The sequence below is a fragment of the Homo sapiens genome, chromosome 12 (assembly GCF_000001405.40).
Source record: "Homo sapiens chromosome 12, GRCh38.p14 Primary Assembly".
Taxonomy (NCBI): domain Eukaryota; kingdom Metazoa; phylum Chordata; class Mammalia; order Primates; family Hominidae; genus Homo; species Homo sapiens.
Genome location: NC_000012.12, coordinates 71,541,477 through 71,559,969, shown reverse-complemented (window position 1 = coordinate 71,559,969; position 18,493 = coordinate 71,541,477). Strand labels below are relative to the sequence as shown.

At 40.1% G+C, this 18,493-nt stretch overlaps 1 protein-coding gene and 1 long non-coding RNA gene across 7 annotated transcripts in view, besides 1 other annotated feature; one reads left to right on the top strand and one right to left on the bottom strand.

Moving 5' to 3' along the window:
* LGR5 (leucine rich repeat containing G protein-coupled receptor 5) overlaps nucleotides 1–18,493 on the bottom strand; it is a 147,182-nt gene that overhangs the window by 26,341 nt on the left and 102,348 nt on the right. For 4 of the 6 annotated variants that reach the window (NR_110596.2, XM_047429800.1, NM_003667.4 and 1 more), the window contains exons 5-7: nucleotides 6,682–6,897; nucleotides 3,280–3,351; nucleotides 316–384 (exon numbers count right to left, since the gene is read on the bottom strand). Coding sequence is in view for 5 of the 6 variants with exons in the window: in XM_047429800.1 (XP_047285756.1) it covers nucleotides 316–384; nucleotides 3,280–3,351; nucleotides 6,682–6,897 (357 nt within the window). In the remaining variant the exon portion in view is untranslated. The remainder of the gene's footprint in view (nucleotides 1–315; nucleotides 385–3,279; nucleotides 3,352–6,681; nucleotides 6,898–18,493) is intronic. The other 2 variants (NM_001277227.2, XM_047429801.1) reach the window with 1 other exon arrangement.
* Nucleotides 1–18,493, top strand: part of LOC105369833 (uncharacterized) — a 47,788-nt gene that overhangs the window by 15,226 nt on the left and 14,069 nt on the right. The window lies entirely within an intron of this gene.
* Nucleotides 13,295–13,495: a silencer, noted in NCBI's record as "peak1818 fragment used in MPRA reporter construct". NCBI's record gives its function as "represses an SCP1 promoter by STARR-seq MPRAs in K562 erythroleukemia cells {active_cell/tissue: K562}" and the evidence as "EXISTENCE:reporter gene assay evidence [ECO:0000049][PMID:32103011]".

The following is an 18,493-nucleotide window of genomic DNA, read 5'->3' as shown; positions in this document are numbered from 1 at the left end:
AAAAATCTACAAATCTATAAAGTACATAAATGGTGGGAGAGTATGTATGGCTTAGAAAAAGAGAAAAGAATATGACTTACAGAAATATATGTTTTTTTAATATATATGTTAGAAAAACCCCGCATAAATAAAAAATATTATCTGGTATTTGCTAGAGATAGAATCAATTAAAATATATTTCAAGTGTACTTTATCATTATTTATATAAACTTAAAATTTTCTAGCAAGTCATATTATGTAAAACAATCACATGTATTTTTAAATAAATTCACAAAAGGATAAAGTTCTCCCATTAAAATTGTCCTAAATACTTACAGTTCTTTAAGGTTGGAGAGTGTCCTAATTGCAGTGGGGAATTCATCAAGGTTATTGTAATTTAAATCTCTGAAAATGAGTACATAGTATTTTCAGTTTTTTATTTAAAACTTCATATATACTCTATTTACAAGGAAAGTTAACATGCTATTCCAAGGAACCCATATGACTAATGGAAGTTCTCACTGCTTTTCTTTATGGAAAGAGATTTTCTTGGCTTGCTGACTACCAACATTCTATAAGTATCTGCGTTAAAATGGTCATTTGACTAATCATGAGAAATTTGAGAGTCAGGACTCAATGGCACTGGGGCGTCTAAAAAAGAAAGGGAGTGTGCAGGAGTATTAACTTCTAAGTAGGAGAGATGTCTCTTTGGCCAGGTGTTGACGGCTGGCGGATGGAGCTCTTCAACTGAACCGGGCTCACTAATTGGCCAGCGTGAATTTGCACTCCTCAGGGCTCCTGGATCACATCCCTTTTCTTGTTCCCTCCTTCACTCCCTTGTGACATGAAATCTTGCAGGGCTGCTTTGTCCTTGACTTTCACAGGGTTCCCACATCCCTCCTAGCCTGAAGTCCAGGATGAACCTTGCTTCTGGAGAGGTTTATGTGAGACAGGGTAATCTCAGAAAGGACATTTGGTCTAGAATTTCTTCAAGGAGTCACAAATAATTCAGAAATAGGATGTTTTCCTTGATCTGTGCAGCAAAGCTCTATGTTATCCCTCAAGGCCAGAGATGAAGTGGTCAAATTATCTCAAATCATTAGTTTCTGTATCTGTTATAGCACAATTGGCTTTTCAATTTCATTACTCACAAGTGCTTTACAGACTTACTCTACCTTATATCTAGATCTTCGTATGAAAAAGTAATTGCCTCCTGGTCTCTGGGAATGGCAGATTTCCCAGATGACGCAGAAAAACCTTTTCGTCAGGCAATCAGATGTGGTTAGATCCTCCTCTGTGGAGAATTGCTATTTAATTTAAAGAGAGAGATAATTTGACTGAGTTAAACATGAATCAAGGTTCCTACTTGTCTGGCACAAACCATCCTTAAGCTATACTGCAGGCAGGAAATGCATGTCTTTTGTAGACATAAATTTTCTTCCTGTTTGTAAATCTCTCCAGATGCTCTGTTTTGATTAAACAAGGATTGGACCCTTATAAATTACTTGGATTTCTAGTAGGGAAAGGAAGAGGCTGGGAATAACCAAATTGCTTATCCTCTGTAGCCCTGGGCAAGGTAGAGGAAGGGGAGACAATAAGACTCACATGAACTTTTCCCTGACATGTTTTGCTCTATGTTATTTACATGCAATCCTGGGTCCTTACCCCAAACATTGAGGGGAAAAAAAAGACTATTTATGGAAATACCCATCAAAGCCCATCTTGTTTTTCATTCCTGTTATTGTTCAAAAGGGCTGGAAGGTGATTTCCATTGCTGAGATTTCTGAGCCCAGCGTTTTGTAGATAAGAGTTCTAATTTTTCCTAGCAGCTGATGGGAACTGCTTGTCTATGCCATTAAGTTGACATAAAGGTCCTCCCTGGACAAGTCCATCTTTGCCACGTAAGAAGAAACACAGGGTGACTTAACCCTGGAAAGAGCTGTTAGTGCTCATAGGCTAGAAGAATACCACCAACACAGGGTCCCTCAGGAAATTAGTAACCCAGATCTGGTTAGAAGCTGAATTGATCATGAACAAATTCCTAAGCTCTGTGTGCAAATGAACAGTGGGCCCCAAGGGCACAGGAGAAGTGGTCTTTGGTCTTTTCCTTTTGCAGTTCTGGTCAGAGCCAGCACTGCAGATTCAGTGACCTGTGTGGTTTATTGCATTTGAGCATTAAAAATGTGAGGGTAGGGATGGTGTCATGGCTGCAACTACCCTCCTCTCCCAGCACACTCAGGACCCTCCCTGCCTATCACCTCAGTCTCATCACACCTTTCTCAACAGGGCAATGAAGAGCAGCTCCTCCCCTGGGAAAAGCCTGGGGCCCTGGTGTGGCCCACAAGAACCTCTACCTTGGCTCTGTGAGAGTGTCTAGGATATGGTCCGCTGGCTTGACTCTATTTTTACTATAGGTACCAATTAAGAACTGAACTTTTGACTTATTCTTTGGAAGTAGTATGTAGTAGTAAACATGGATTTCAGAATCAGACTAGAGGAGAAAGCAAATCTCAGTTCTGCTACTGACTAGATATGTAATAACTTTACCTCACTAGAGCCTAAAATGGGATAGTAATATCTGCTCTCATAGGATGGCTGTAAGAAGTAATTAAAACAATGTATGCCAAATGCTCAGTGCAATATTTGATTATAGATATATTCAATAAATAGTAGCTACTATTACTTTTCACTCTTTTTTCTTTTTTTGAGACAAGGTCTTGCTCTGTCACCCAGGTTGGAGTGCAGTGGCATGGTCACAGCTCACTGCAGCCTCAAATTCCTGGGCTCAAGCGATCCTCCCGCATTGGCTTCCCAAGTGTTAGGATTACAGGCATGAGTCACCACGCCCAGTCCCTTTTTCATCTTTTGAATTGCTTTAGCATGAGCCATCACTGTTTCCTAAAGAGATGCCTGTTCATCTGAGATTGAAGACGCAGGCATTGGCCTGGCCTGCATCCTCTCATTCAGCAGGGAGTACCAGACTCATGAACAGTGAGCCTGAGTGATCCTTGACAGAGACTACACATTTCTAAGCAAATAGTCACTGCTTAGTAGAGAACATCTCATTTAATTTATAATGATTCTAACTAATTTATCACTCTCATTAGATTAAAATAAAATCCCAGTTTTATTGTTTAGCTCTGTGGGGGTTGTGTGTGTAAGATAATGCCACTGTAAATATCTGTTGAAAGCTTAGGCAATTAACCAAACCAAACAAAGTCTGGCTTTAAGGCTATTTTGATTCTTCAGAATATTCATGAAAATACTGAAAAAAGGGAAACAAATAAAAGGTCAACTCACAAAGTCTCTAGGCTGTGGAGCCCATCAAAGCATTTCTTTCCCAGGGAGTGGATTCTATTGTTATGGAGATGTCTGCAGTAGAACATTACAGATAGTTAGGAAGGCACACTGCACAGACCACACTTAACATTTTGATAGCTTAAATCCAAAGAAACATATACTGAAGAATGCACTACTTATAAGAAGCCAATGTAAAAAATGGCTATATGCTGCATTCACTCATACCACAGATGATTCTATACCACAGAATTTAAAAGACAGTCACAGTTTTTTACCTTTTAGCTTCAGGACATCAGGGTGTGTATAATAATATGAGGAACATAATTGATATAAGTAACTTTGGGTTTCAAGGCTGTTTTTTTTTTTAATTTTTAAGTTCAGGGGTGCATGTGCAGGTTTGTTATGTAGGTAAACTTGTGTCATGGGGGTCTATTGTAAAGATTATTTCATCACCCAGGTATTAAGCCTAGTACCCATTAGTTATTTTCCTGATCTTCTCCCTCCTCCCACCCTCCACCCTCTGAGAGGCCCCAGCGTGTGTTGTTCCCCTCTGTGTGTCCATGTGTGCTCCCATCATTTAACTCCCACTTCTAAGTGAGAACATTCAGTATTTGGTTTTCTGTTCCTGTGTTAGTTTGCTAAGGATAATGGCCTCCATCCATGTTCCTGCAAAGGACATGATCTTGTTCTTTTTTATGGCTGCATAGTATTCCATGGTGTATATGTACCATATTTTCTTTATCCAGTCTATCATTGATGGGCATTTCAGCTGATTCCACATCTTTGCTATTGTGAATAGGGCTGCAGTGAACATACACATGCATGTGTCTTTATAATAGAATGATTTCTATTCCTTTGGGTATATACCCAGTAATGGGATTGCTGGGTCAAATGGTAGTTCTGTCTTTAGGTCTTTGAGGAGTTGCCACACTGTATTCCACAATGGTTGAACTAATTTACATTCTCAAGGCATATTTGTAAGCATAGTTTGTTCAGCATGGCTTTGGGATATAGGATGTTAAGCAGAGATACTGACCATCATTGACACCTGGAGGATAGATGTAGCAAGCACATTTTCTAATAAAGATGAAGGCCTATAATGGCTACCTTCCCAGGGCGGGAGCACAGGTCAACAGGAAACAATGATTTCAGTCACAGGCAATGGTAATCAGATTTTTCTGCTGCCCAAGGAGATTAGTTATCTTGACACAGTATTAGTGTATATAATTATCATCTTTGGTTCAATTGGTAAGTCAGTTAGGTCAGAGCCAGTGAGAACAGCTGTGCACAACTGAAAACTGGACCAACTCTCAAAAGGATTTTAGAAAATGGGCTTAAGGAGGATAGGGTGAAAAAGTACAGCTGGATCTGTGTAAATCCATTTCCTCTAGTGGAGGAAAAGAAATTAAAGCACATACCCAGCTTCTGGTGGGTCAGTAGCATCATCTTTATATGTGAAATTCAGTGTAGAAATTTTTTAATATCACAAAAAATTCTTTTCCTTCCATACTAAGATTTTTTTTCTAATAAATAAATTTTGGTTTTAGGTGAGATTTATGTAATATTCATTGAGGATATTCTACATGCAGCATATAAGGAAGGAGATTGAGGGGAACCTAAAACAATAAATAAGATATTGGCCAGCCCTCAAAGGAGTATATACTACAGTGCAAGGGACAGACATGTCATCAAGTGGAATGATTGAAGAGAGCGGTGGGCCAGTGGGTGGGCATGAAGCAAAGAGAGAAATAGTGAGAAGAAGCCTTCCTCATTGATTGGTTATTATATTATACATGTGGGGGTCATACTGCTACATTTTTAAAGAAAACTGATTATTTTTCAAACTATTACTTGTTTGAGAATCATTTTGGATTTACTAAAATAATGAAATCTAGACATATGGTGGGAAAAAACTGTGCAAATGCATAACATGCTGTCAATTAAACCACTTCTGCAAAAATACAACAGTGAGAAAAATATGACAATGAAAGAGATCTGACCTAACCGACTCCATCTTGCCTTTAACCTCCAAGCTGCCCTTGTCTATTCCTGGGCATAGGCTGAACTAACTTTGGGAGGAATTTAGTTTATAGTTTATCTTTGAAACAAAATGATAACAGTCTTTTTCTGAAACAAACTCCCTCCTTGCCTTGGGACCAGGCTACCTTTGTAGAAGTAACAAATTAGCCACAGATTAGAAATTATGGTTTAGGAGTCAGGCAGCCAGAGGCCACAAGACTCCTAACCTCCCCAGTTGCTCCTATAGATAACATCGCTATTGTAAAACATAAGATTGGTGTTCAAGATATTTTTCAGACCGTGCATTCTGATAGATCAGCTGGAACCACCCAGATGGGTAAACTGGCCCATGTGGTCTTAAGGCCCTCATCCAGGACTGACTCAGAGCAAGAGGACAACTTCAATCCCTTATGATTTCATCCCTGACCCAACAAATCAGCATTCCCCATTCCCTAGCTCCCTGCTAGCCAAACTATCTTTAAAAAACTCTTGCCTCTGAATTTTCAGGGAGGCTGATTTGAGTAATAATAAAACTCTAGTCTTCCATTGAGCTGGCTGTATGTGTGCTAAACTATTTTTTCTTTTTTTTTGAGACAGAGTCTCACTCTCTTCCCCAGGGTGGAGTGCAGTGGCACAATCTTGGCTCACTGCAACCTGGGTTCAATTGATCCTCCGGCCTCAGCCTCCCTAGTAGCTGGGATTACAAGCATGTGCCACTACGCCCAGCTAATTTTTGTACTTTTAGTAGAGGTGGGGTTTCACCATGTTGACCAGGCTGGCCTCGAACTCCTGACCTCAAGTGATACACCCGCCTTGGCTTCGCAAAGTGCTGGGATTACAGGTATGAGCCACTGTGCCGGCCTTGTGTGTTACTCTTTATTGCAATTCTCTTGTCTTAATAAATTGGCTCTATTTGGGCAGTGGGCAAAAAGAACTCATTGAGCAGTTACATCATTTGTTCTCACTTCTCTTTCCTTGGTAAGGGTTCACAAAGTTCTTATTAGATAATAAGAAGAGCATCTTTCAATTTGACCTGAATTATCAATTATTTTTTAAAATAAGGAATGTTTAACTTAGGTTACTGTACTAACTGTACAGTGCGGTGACTCCTTGTGCAACATGCAAGGGGCTTCTCTAAGGCACAGGTCATATTTCATTATCTTTGTATGCCCTGCTGTGCTTGGCATCTAGCAGGTAATTGATAAGTATTGTTTAAGTCATTTACACAATTGGAGCATTTATAAGTCATTTTGGGGAGGGGCTCAGGAGGTTTTCCTCCCTTAAAATGTCCCCATTTGAGCTTTGAAGAGCCAGCATTTTAAGGCCAAGGTCTTCCAGTGACATTAGAAACTGTTAAAAGAGAGCAAAATCAATAAAACTTACAGAACTACCAAGCTGGAGAGGTTTCCAAAGGCATAGTCTGGTATGTGGTGTATTTTGTTCAGGGCCAAGGTCATGGCTTGCAATGCCGATAAACTTCTAAAAGCCTGGACGGGGATTTCTGTTAACGCATTGTCATCCAGCCACAGGTGCCTCAGGGAATGCAGGCCACTGAAACAGCTTGGGGGCACATAGCTGATGTGGTTAGCATCCAGACGCCTGTGGAAGAAAGAAAGCAAGAATGGAAAAGAGAGCAAAGCCCAAGCAGAAGGTCAACTTTGCAGGAAAACCCTCCCCATGCATGATGAACAAGAGTGGAACAGGGCCTGGGGTCCCCGAGAGCCCTGACATCTGGAGCATTTTCCTCTCCAGATGATCTCTCCTTCTCATTCATGTGTAGACTGTTGCTTCCTAGGTCCTCTGGCTCTAAAATTCCATGGTGCTATAATTCTCTTCCAGGCTTGTAGGTAATGTTCTCTCATGGATGGAAGTGGCCTCCCCTGAGGTATGGAGTTTCAGTGTGATGATCTTTTAGTTTCTTTCTGACACTAGCATAGAGATATCCTTTTCCTCCTCCCACCCTAAGCCAAAGGAATGTTTTTGCTTTCCCTGACTGTTTTGAACATACTAAACATACTAGTCTAATAAGCTGTTCAGTAAGCTCTGGGAAAAGATTATTTCATTTCAGTATTTGAAGGAACTGCGTAATTTTTTTTTTTTTTTTGAGACGAAGTCTCTCGCTCTTGTCGCCCAGGCTGGAGTGCAATGGCGCGATCTCGGCTCACTGCAACCTCCACCTCCCGGGTTCAAGCGATTTTCCTGCTTCAGCCTCTCGAGTAGCTGGGATTACAGGCGTCTGCCACCACACCTGGCTAATTTTTACATTTTTAGTAGAGACAGGGTTTCACCATGTTGGCCAGGTTGGTCTCGAACTCCTGACCTCATGCGATCTGCCCACCTCGGCCTCCCAAAGTACTGGGATTACAGGTGTGAGCCACCGCACCTGGCCGAGTAATTTTTTTTTAATTTTTAATTTTTTTATTTTACTTTAAGTTCTGGGATACACGTGCAGAACATGCAGGTTTGTTACATAGGTATACATGTGCCATGGTGGTTTGTTGCACCTATCAACACATCATCTAGGTTTTAAGCCCCACATGCATTAGGTATTTGTCCTAATGCTCTCCCTCCCCTTGCCCCCCACCTGCCGACAGGCCCCCATGTATGATGTTCCCCTCTCTGTGTCCACGTGTTCTCACTGGAACTGAGTACATTTTTAAAGACTGTTAGAGACATGCCTCAGGGAAAACAGAGAAGGGGCCCTATCCTTTTTCTTAGGACAACACTGAAAGGCCTGAAAACTGCTGGCTTTCTTGCTTATCCTAACCATTTGTATGAAGCAGATGTTTGTTTTTCTGACATTTTAAATGAATAATAAAATTAACAACTTTCCAGCTTTTGCTTCCTTTTCCCACACTCCATTTTTATCTGTTTTAAAATGGGGAAATACATCTAAAAATAAGTCTGGTTAATGAGCTGTTGCCACCTAAAAGCCAGCAGAGGGAGTGCAATACATTTATTTTGCCCCAGTCCAACATAAACAGTGGCTATAATTTAAAGGTCCTAACTTTTCGTATGGAAGTGACAAAACTCACATCGTTTGCAATGTTCTGTAAGATGCATGAATACTAGAACCAACATCACTCAAACTATGCTTCCAACAGCTCTCACTTGTTTTTTTTCCCAATCTGCTTTTAAGACGCACACATTTGCATTTTCAAAGGTAGGATTAAAAAAAAGAAGAGTTGTATTTTAGTGGTCCACGTATTAGGAAGGAGTAGAAAATCAGAAGTGGATTTTGAAAAATGTTTTTGGAAGCATTTAAGACTAAACAGATGCAGGAAGCACACCAGGATCACAAAATAATCTCCTGCAAACCAAAATTAAACAATTTAGAAATGAAATTCTTTGTTGGGAGGAAGCTCATTTCTATAGAAAGCAGCTTCCTCACTTTTGGCCACTATGCCACTTCAATCATCTTCTGATTCCTGCTTCTACAGACTGAATGGGAAGGAACAAGCGATGCCTCAAAGGCCCTCCTTGGGCCACATTTTGATAATAGCTGAGATAACGTCACTTGGAGCAAATTTTAAGAGTTGGGTGTCATACCCCATTTACGATTAAATTTCCAATAGAACAACTATCATTGTCAGCAACAGAAACACAGCTTTCAAACATCTTAAGGTTTTGTCAACAAATGGAGCCACAAATGTTTAGAAAATTCAACACCATCTCTCTTTCCTTTCTCTAGCAACAATGTGCCTGGCTTATGCTCAAATAAGGTATAATTTCATCAGGAGATAAAGAGGTGATTGCTTTTGTTTGACTAGAAGTAAAGCACACATGTAAACTCTCCTTAACTATTGCACTGATTAAAGGATAGAGACTTAATAATATGAGCTTCTATGTTTTTGTTGATATGTTGACTGATCATTGCCAGTCGTTTATGCATTGAAAGTATGAGTGGTGGCTGGGCCCGTTGGCTCACACCTGTAATCCCAGCACTTTGAAAAGCTGAGGGGGGCAGATCACCTGAGGTCAGGAGTTCCAGACCAGCCTGGCCAACATGGAGAAACCCCATTTCTATAAAAAATACAAAAAAAATTAGCTGGGTGTGGTGATGCACATCTGTAGTCCCAGCTACTTGGGAGGCTGAGGCAGGAGAATCGCTTGAACCCAGGAGGCAGACGCTGCAGTGAGCCGAGATCATGCCACTGCACTCCAGCCTGGCCAACAGAGTGAGACTCTGTCTTAAAAAAAAAAAAAAAAAGAAAGTATGAGTGGTTTCTAAAAGTCTTGGGCTGCGCGCAGTGGTTCATGCCTGTAATCCCAGAACTTAGGGAGACAGAGGTCAGGAGATCAAGACCAGCCCAGCCAACACGGTGAAACCCCATCTCTACCAAAAATACAAAAATTAGGTGGGTGTGGTGGTGCATGCCTGTAATCCCAGCTACTTGGGAGGCTGAGGCACGAGAATTGCTTGAACCCAGGAGGTGGAGGTTGCAGTGAGCCGAGATCTTGCCACTGTATTCCAGCCTGGCCAACAGAAAATAAAAAAAAAATAAAAAAATAAAAGTCTTGAAAATGACAAAAAAGTTCATTGCAAACACTGGGATGCATTTATGGAAAAGGCTCTTTCAGCATGAAGTCATAGGATTGTCTTCTTTGGTATTTTATGTTCCTACCAAAGTTTCTGCTGTATCTTGAAGTGACCCAGGTATCAGTTCCCAACGTTAATATAGCCATTTCTCTGGACAAATATCTTTTATGAATCACGTTTCTTTTCCCCCCAGAAAAAAGGATATAATCTGGCCTCCACACTATTATCTTATACCAATTTGCTATCTGAAATGAAATGAGTAAGACAGGAGAATTCTTCAGAGATCGAACACTCTAAATACTAATATTCCCAGATTTAATGCTCAACAGCATAGACCTTCAGATGTCCTGAGTGAAGCATTAACACATCTCTCTACTAAACAGTTTCTTCATATAAGAAGCTCTCAATAAATGATACTCCTTCTAAATGCAGTGTTTTAGAGTTCATATCCACCTGGCCTCAGTGGTCTAAACCTAATTCAGGTATATTGTTCACACTCAAAGGCATTATCTGATTTAATTTCCTCCTCCAGCTTTGTTAAGGAATAATTGACAAATAAAAATTGCATATATTTATGGTGTACAATGTGATGTTTTGATATATGTATACATTGTAAAATGATTAAATCAAGCTAATTAACATATCCATCACCTCACATACTTAACATTTTTTTGTGGTGACAACATTTAAGATCTAATCTATTAGCAATTTTCAAGTATACAATATATTATTATTAACTGTAGTCACCATGCCATACAATGGCTCTTCAGAAGTTATTCATCCTGTCTAACTGAAGCTTTGTACCCCTTCTCCAACATCTCCCCACTCAACCACTCCCACTCCCAGCCCCTGGCGACCACTATTCTACACTCTGCTTCTATATGTGATTTACTCTTAACAGAAGACCCCAAGGGTAAACAGGAGTATAGAATTAACTATCCAGTCACTCACACAGGTGGTTCTTCCACAACAAGGTTAAGACTGTGGACAAAGCAGCTGACAGGGCAGAAGCTGTGTCCATTCAGCAAGTAAACAAAGAGTTCATATTACGTCAATCTGGTCTTTTCAGGCAGCTGAACATTCTCTATTCATATGCTTGAAAAATGCAATATTTTAACAGTCGGGTATAAGATAAACATCACTATCTGGTACAAGAAGACATACACATATAAAATATGGTTCCATAATAGACTTATTATCAGTAGCAACAAAAATAACTACACTATATAGTTCTGCTTTTAAGTATGTCTTTGTTATTTCCATTTTGTGCAAGTCACAGAGGGTGTGTGTGTGTGTGTGTGTGTGTGTGTGTGTGTAGGCACCTTAGAATCCATAAATTAGTGCAGAGATTTGGAATGGGAAGTACCAGGTTCCAGCCAATTCTAGAAGCTGTATGACCTTGGCCAAATCAACAGACCTCAGCTTTCACATCTGTAAAACAGGGATAACTCCCATCTTATAGGGTTGCTTTCTGATTAAGGAAATAACACAACAGGACTTTGTAAATCTAAAGTACCTTAATGATTTTAAATATTATTATGTGAAGCTGGTTAACACTTTGTATTTTTGTCTTTTGACCATTGAAACCATTCAGAAAAATAAAGGTAAATTCAAATTTTGCTTAAGCAAAAGTGGCCAAAATGAGTGCTGGATTGTCAGTGAATTTCAGTTCTGAGAAATGCAGGCTATTTCTTTCAACCCTCATAATAGAAATAACTTAGAGGTGCCTGCAATTAGACTTATAGAAGTCACCCTTATTTTTTCAGCCTTTACTATTATTGCTATGCATGTGTATATGTATCTACGCACACACACACACACACACACACAGTGCAACAAGGCAAATAGTTTTGTTCCTGATACACCACTGATTATAATATCTGCATTTTGAAGGTCAAAGAAGTGATGGCATTTTCAGAGAAAGTTTCTAGCAATGATCTTGGCATCTTGGCCATTTACGCATCCATTGAAATTGTGACAGAGGCAGCCCCAAACCTGTCTGCAGTTATGTGCAGCAAAGTAAAACACTTTCAATAATGAGTGGCCTTGCCTTCATTCAGATAAAAGCTCTTAATTGTGATCTTGAAATGCCATCTGAAAAGTGATCACTATATCGGAAATAGCACCCACTTTATGGTCCTTTTGGGGGGGGTCTGTTACATATAGTTTATAGTATATAGTATATATAATTTATAGGTAAAACAAAAATTTTCCCTACATCTTATGCCATCTACAGCCACCTACATAATTGAGGCCTAGCACTTTGGGAGGCCAAGGCAGGCAGATCACCTGAGGTCAGGAGTTCAAGACCAGCCTGGCAAACATGGGGAAACCCTGTCTCTACTAAAAATACAAAAAAATTAGCTGGGTGTGGTGGCATGCACCTATTACCATGTGGTAAACTGGAAAGTGCACTGAATCAGGAGACTTGAGACACAGATTTAAGTCAAGATACTGTCATTTAATTCCAAGATTTGAGGGCATATTGATATCTCTCTTTGTGGGTCAATGTTCACATGTATAAGGCAGAATCACATGTCACAGAATTGCTTTGGGAATTAAGTGAGAAAATACGAATGTGTTTTGTAAACAGTAAGCATTCTACTGTTTAATGACAGACTTTATTATTTGAGGAAAACCTTCAAATTTAGGAAGTGGTATCATATTTTTCCCTTTAAAAATTTATTTTATTCTTCCTGAAGTTTCTTAACCCTTTGTCATTTCACATCTGTCTATGGGAGATTGCCATTTTCTTGCCATATGGGCTGGTGTTTCTCTATTTACCATACATTCTTTAATCTATGTTCAGCAGCTACACTGCATGTTTTAATTAGTATTATAGCAAGGTTTCCATCACAGAGAAAAGAGGATGCACATCTTCTGTGTTAGGCCAGCAATAGAATAGTTGGTGTCCAAAAGGCTAAAATGGCTGAGGAAAAATATTATAACACCTGGTGCAAGAACGGAGTTTTTATTAAGTATGAGTCTTTGCAATGTTACTTAGAGGGCTACAACTGATGAGGAAGGGTCATGGTATGACTTTCGGGTGTGTGTTGAAATCACTCCTTCTCTGGAGGGAGGGCTTGAGGTTGAAGACTCCGCAATTACTCAAGAGGCGCTGCTGCTCAAGCTGCTTGGCCAAGGGGACTGTCTCTTACGGTCCCAGTGGTTGCCTCTCCCACCACTGGACCTGGTCAAAACCATCAAGTTCACCCTGAGGGGCCTCAATAACTTTGAGTATCCAAAGTAAGTGGAGTCTGGATGACATCACTCCCAGGTTTCTGGGCTACCTGCCTACAAGAAATGACTTATCCTCTCCCAGCAGTCTTCAAGGTTTGCATGAAAGTGTTTCTCTGAAATGGGGGTGTTGTAGGCTTTCTGACTGGAGGCCCTCATAATACATGTGCTGTAGAAAGGTCACTCTAATAGCAGTGTGTAGGAGGGCCTAGTGGGAAAGTACATTACCAAGGCAGTTGCAGTCATCAGGGTGAGAAAGATCAGTGCCTGAAGGAAGTGTGAAAATGGTGAGGAAGGGCCTACTATGAGAGATGTTAAATATGTGGGCCTGGCAGAACTTGGTGACTCCCCAGATGTGGCCAGAGAGGAAGGTGAGGAAGCTATGGTGATTCAGCATTCTGGCCTGGGCAACTGGATGGATGCGAGAACAGAGATGAATGTCACCCAGTATTAGGTAAAATAAAAATAAAACATAACTCCATGTTCACTGTGAATGCGGTTCTGTCATATCAATGTGTTCTATGTGGCAAAGAGCTAGAAGGTAACAGGCAAACAGTTAATATATATATATATATATTTTGAGACTGAGTCTCACTCTGTCTCCCAGGCTGGAGTGCAGTGGTCCAATCTTGGCTCACTGCAACCTCCACCTCCTGGGTTCAAGCAATTCTCCTGCCTCAGCCTCCTGAGTAGCTGGTATTATAGGTGCATGCCACCACACCCAGCTAATTTTTTTGTATTTTTAGTAGAGACAGGGTTTCCCCATGTTTGCCAGGCTGGTCTTGAACTCCTGACCTCAGGTGATCTGCCTGCCTTGGCCTCCCAAAGTGCTAGGCCTCAAACAATTAATCTTTTATGTTCAGGCAACCCCACCTGCCCCTGCCACCAAATAAAATAAGCTCATTTTCTTTGTGTTTAAAGTTTTCTTCCTAATATTTCTATGTGAAAAGGTTAATAATGCAAATTTTCTCTTTTACAAGAAACATTTTGCCAATCTGCTCCATACTCCCTGAAAAAACTTTCCACTTATAAATGGTGTTATTGTAAAGATTAGAGAATGTATCAGATCATTATTGCTATTGTTGTTCCAGAAAATGGCCCTTTATACATATCTCATATATGACACCTTGTCAATGTATCACACAAATCTGTATCTTTGTTTAAGAATGTCTTTGATGAGCCATTAACTATAAGAAGTAAAGTGTTAGTCAAAAGATAAGCCATTGATCTTGGTTAATTCCATATCTGAGATGACTGTAATAATGTCAATTATTAACATGGATGACTTGGAGAAAAAAAAAAGCCAAAAGTGTGAAGAATCTTGCAGCTGCATAATACAGTTTATAGGGATTCTTGTAATAAACAGAGTTATGAAGCAATGCATTTTTATGACTGATACTGCTATTTTATATTTGGATGAGCATTTTATTTATTTATTTTTTTGAGACAGGGTCTCACTCTGTCACTCACGCTGGAGTGCAGTGGCAGGATCTCAGCTCACTGCAACCTCTGCTCTTGGGTTCAAGTGATTCTTCCATCTCAGCCTCCCCAGCAGAGCAGCTGGGACCACAGGTGTACACCACCATGCCCAGCTAATTTTTTGTATTTTTTGGTAGAGACAGGGTTTCACCATGTTGGCCAGGTTGGTCTCAAACTCCTGATCTCAAGTGATCCTCCCGCCTTGGCCTCCGAAAGTGTTAGGACTACAGGGGTGAGCCACTGTGCCCGGCTGGATGAGCATTATAAAAAGATTTATTTTTATTTTTATTTTTATTTTGTTACTTTTGTAGAGATGGGGTCTTGCCATGTTGCCTAGGCTGGTCTTGAACTCCTGGGCTCAAGCAATCCTCCTGCCTCGGCTTCCCAAAGTGCTGGGTTTACAGGTGTGAGCCACGGCTCCTGGCCTGGATGAGCATTTTAAAAAAATAAGTTTTAAAGAGGTGACCAACCCTCTTAAACAGTACATTGTACATTTTGTGAGACCACTTTGAACAAGTCAGGAAAGCCAAAAAACCACAGCAATATAGTTCATTTATAAATTTTAAGAAATAAAAGCATTCTTGATTATTATTTTACTTTTTCAATAAAGTGAAAATCGTGTGGTTCTGTATCTGCATATATTACAGTTTAACAAAGTACATACATTTTTTGTTGTGATAAAATTTTACTGCATTGAAATTTTATTGCCCTGGAATCAGTGGATCATTGGAGCTAAATTTGTCACAGAACTATTATAATACTATCGGCCTATTATTTAATCTATATGTACTCTTACAGCTTGAATCCATATTGATTTATATTAATTCTTTGCAATAACACCAGGGTCACTTTTGTTGTGGTGGTGGTTTTTTTTTTTTTAATATTTATGGAGACCATAATGTGTGATTCCAAATTAATATCCAGGGAGATATTAAGCCTATCTAGGAAGATATTAAATAACATGATTGCTTATATGGGAAATTTGTGCTTTTGTCTTTCTAATCACCATCTTATTTACTGGTAAACTTAATGAGGCCAGTAGGAAGAAAAATTATTGCTTTAGACTTACCTCTGAAATGGTTAACAAAAAAAAAAAAAAGAAGAAGAAGAAAAAAAAAAAGACGAAGAAAAAAAAAAGACAAAGAAAAAAAAAAAAGAATTTCCCCTTTCTCCCTCTCCAGGTTGGGGAGAGATAAAGTCTACAGGTTCATTGAAGTGCAGTAATTTAGAGACTAATCAGCTGTCTTGACTAGCAGCCAGATGAAATGTCTAAAGGAACCAAACCTCTGTCTCTCTGGCGTCTTTGAGGAGTGCAAGACTCCAATAAGGAATATATTTTAAAGTCAAATCACATTAAAAGTTGCTTGGTGAGCTCAGAGATCACCACTGCTGTGAATACTGTAGCAAGGAGATGATCTACAGCCAATGTAATGTGAGCAATAACTTCTTCAGTTTTATTTTTCTTCATAGAAAACGAAGACCCTTTTTCTATCAGGGGCACTATTAGTCTTCCAGGTATCACCAGGGTTTAAAATCTAGGGGTCATTTTTGAATCTTCCATTGCCTTCCAGCCAATCATTCACTAAGTTCTTTCCATTTATCTTCATCTCCGAGACTTTCCATTTCCACTGTCTAGTTAATTCTCTTATCTCTTCACACCTGCATTACTGCAACAGCCTCTGAGCTGGTCCTTTTGCCTTTGATCTCTTATCTCTTCAATTAATCCTGTAGGCTGCTGCCAGATTAATCTCCCTGAAGTTACGCCTTAAATAATTTCCCTGTTAGAAATCTACAGTTCTTCCACATTATCATTCCTTTTAAACCCTAACTTTCCATTCTGATATTCAAAGCTCTCTACTTACCTTATCTGGCCAAACTTTTACCTCATTTCTCTGTCCCAGTCAAGTCTCTTTTCTGGCTCTTTCCCACAGTACTTCTGGGCCTTTTGTTCATGAGCATCCCCTACCCACTGCCTATCTGAATCTCATTAACCTTCCAAGACTTAATATCATGGTTCTTTCCTGTGTCTTACTCTTGGAATGGGGAGTCCTCAGTTGAGACAATGGGAAAACTAATTCTGGCAGATAGATCAACTCTAAAATCTCTGCAGGAACCACTGGGTCCAACTCCCAGCCCAGGAAAGGCATGTGGGAAAGCCAGGGTACAGAGGTAAGAGTTTGGAGCCAGGGAGATGAATGAATGCAGGTTACAGTTAAACTAGGGGAGATGAACTGATCTTGAGTGGCTGTCTAGCCTATGGCCCTATCACCTTGAATGTGCCCGATCTTGTCTGAGCAGCTGTCTAGATCAACACTTAAGAGTTTGAGGTTTCAGTTCAGTCTGATACGTATGTCCTAGTGCTTTCTTTGTCCTAGCTACTCTACTGGTGCTGAAGATTTAGCAGTAAACCAGGGAGGCATGGTCCCAGCCATTATGGAGCATGTTTTCTAAAGGGTAGTCAGACAAATCAATCATTATAATGAAGTGTTAGGTGAAGAGGAATGCATGGTTGGGGAACCTAAACTAGATTTTACTTTTTTTTTTTCTTTCCATCCAGATCTGGATTTCAAACTATGTGACATCTCTACTTAGTTGTTCCTCCTCAAACACAAGTGCTCAAGACCAAACTCATTATCCTGGAACCACACACTCCCCAAATATGTATAGCCGTCTCCCAGTGTGTCTTGCCCAGTGACTGGCTTCAGTAAGCACATGGCTGTATAAATCAGAAACTTAGAAATTATTCTCCACACTTCTTTCTGCTTCATTCTTCATAGCCAATTCATTACCAAACACTGGTAATTTCATCTCCTAGATATTTCTCGAATCCATCTCCCTTTCTTCATCTCCACCGTCCCTAACCTGATGAAGTTCTCCTTTCTCTCCTAGACTATTGCAATGACACAGATCTGAGTACCCCCACCTGCCAGCCTTAAAACCCTCCAACAGATTCCCATTGCTTTTACAGTAAAGACTGAAATCCTTGACATGTCCCAAATATCTTTCAAGGGGTCTGGCCTCCACCTGCCTCACTAGATGTGCTCTTCTTGCACGTCTCTCCACCTCACTTCTGCTTCAGCTGCACTGACCTTCTGTTTCTTGATATACCAGGCTTCCCCCACCAATATAAGGAGTTGCACACATAGTTCCCTCTGTCTGGAATGTTCTTCTTTCTTGTCTTTGTCTAATCAATCCTTACTTTTGCATTAGCAGTAGGATGCCTTTCACTTTCTCACCTACGGTTTCCTCATCAGAAAAGTGGAGACAGTTTCTACCTCATAGGTAGTGAGGGACCAGACAACTAAATGCACAGAGAAACACTTGAAAAGGCTGACTGGCTCACGCTTTGATATTGTTGCCTTCCCTTCTTTCATTTATTTCTTTCTGTTTTCCAGCATTCCAACTTCCCTTTCTTTTTATAAACATTCACAATTATATGTCTACAGGTATAATATGTGTTTCTGTTAAGCCTTTCCTTCTTTTCATCAGTGCCCATTTTCTGCAGAGGATTCTCTGAGGGAGGTAAGATAATGTGGTGGTGAAATGGTCAGATTCTGGAATCTGGTGGCAAACTAGGGTTCTTATCCCAGACTCACCTCTAGCCTGACTCCGTTACAAATCATGTGACCTTGGGAAGATCAGCTGACCTCTCTGCACTCTTTGCTTCCTCAGTACTAAGGAGGGAATAATCTCAGCACCTACTTCATGAGGTTTCTGTGAGGATAAAGCATGATGATGGAAGTAAAACTGTTTAGTAAATATGGGAGGCTGCTGCTTTGATAACCATGGAAGTGCATTCAATTCCACATTCTGATTTTGTCTTTGCAATATTCACATTCTCTGCTGCTTTCCTTATGTGTCTTTTCACAACTGATCACAGACCGTGTTTATCCTGAAAAGGCAGAAAGACTGTGCCTCACTTATATGGTAGTCATCTCT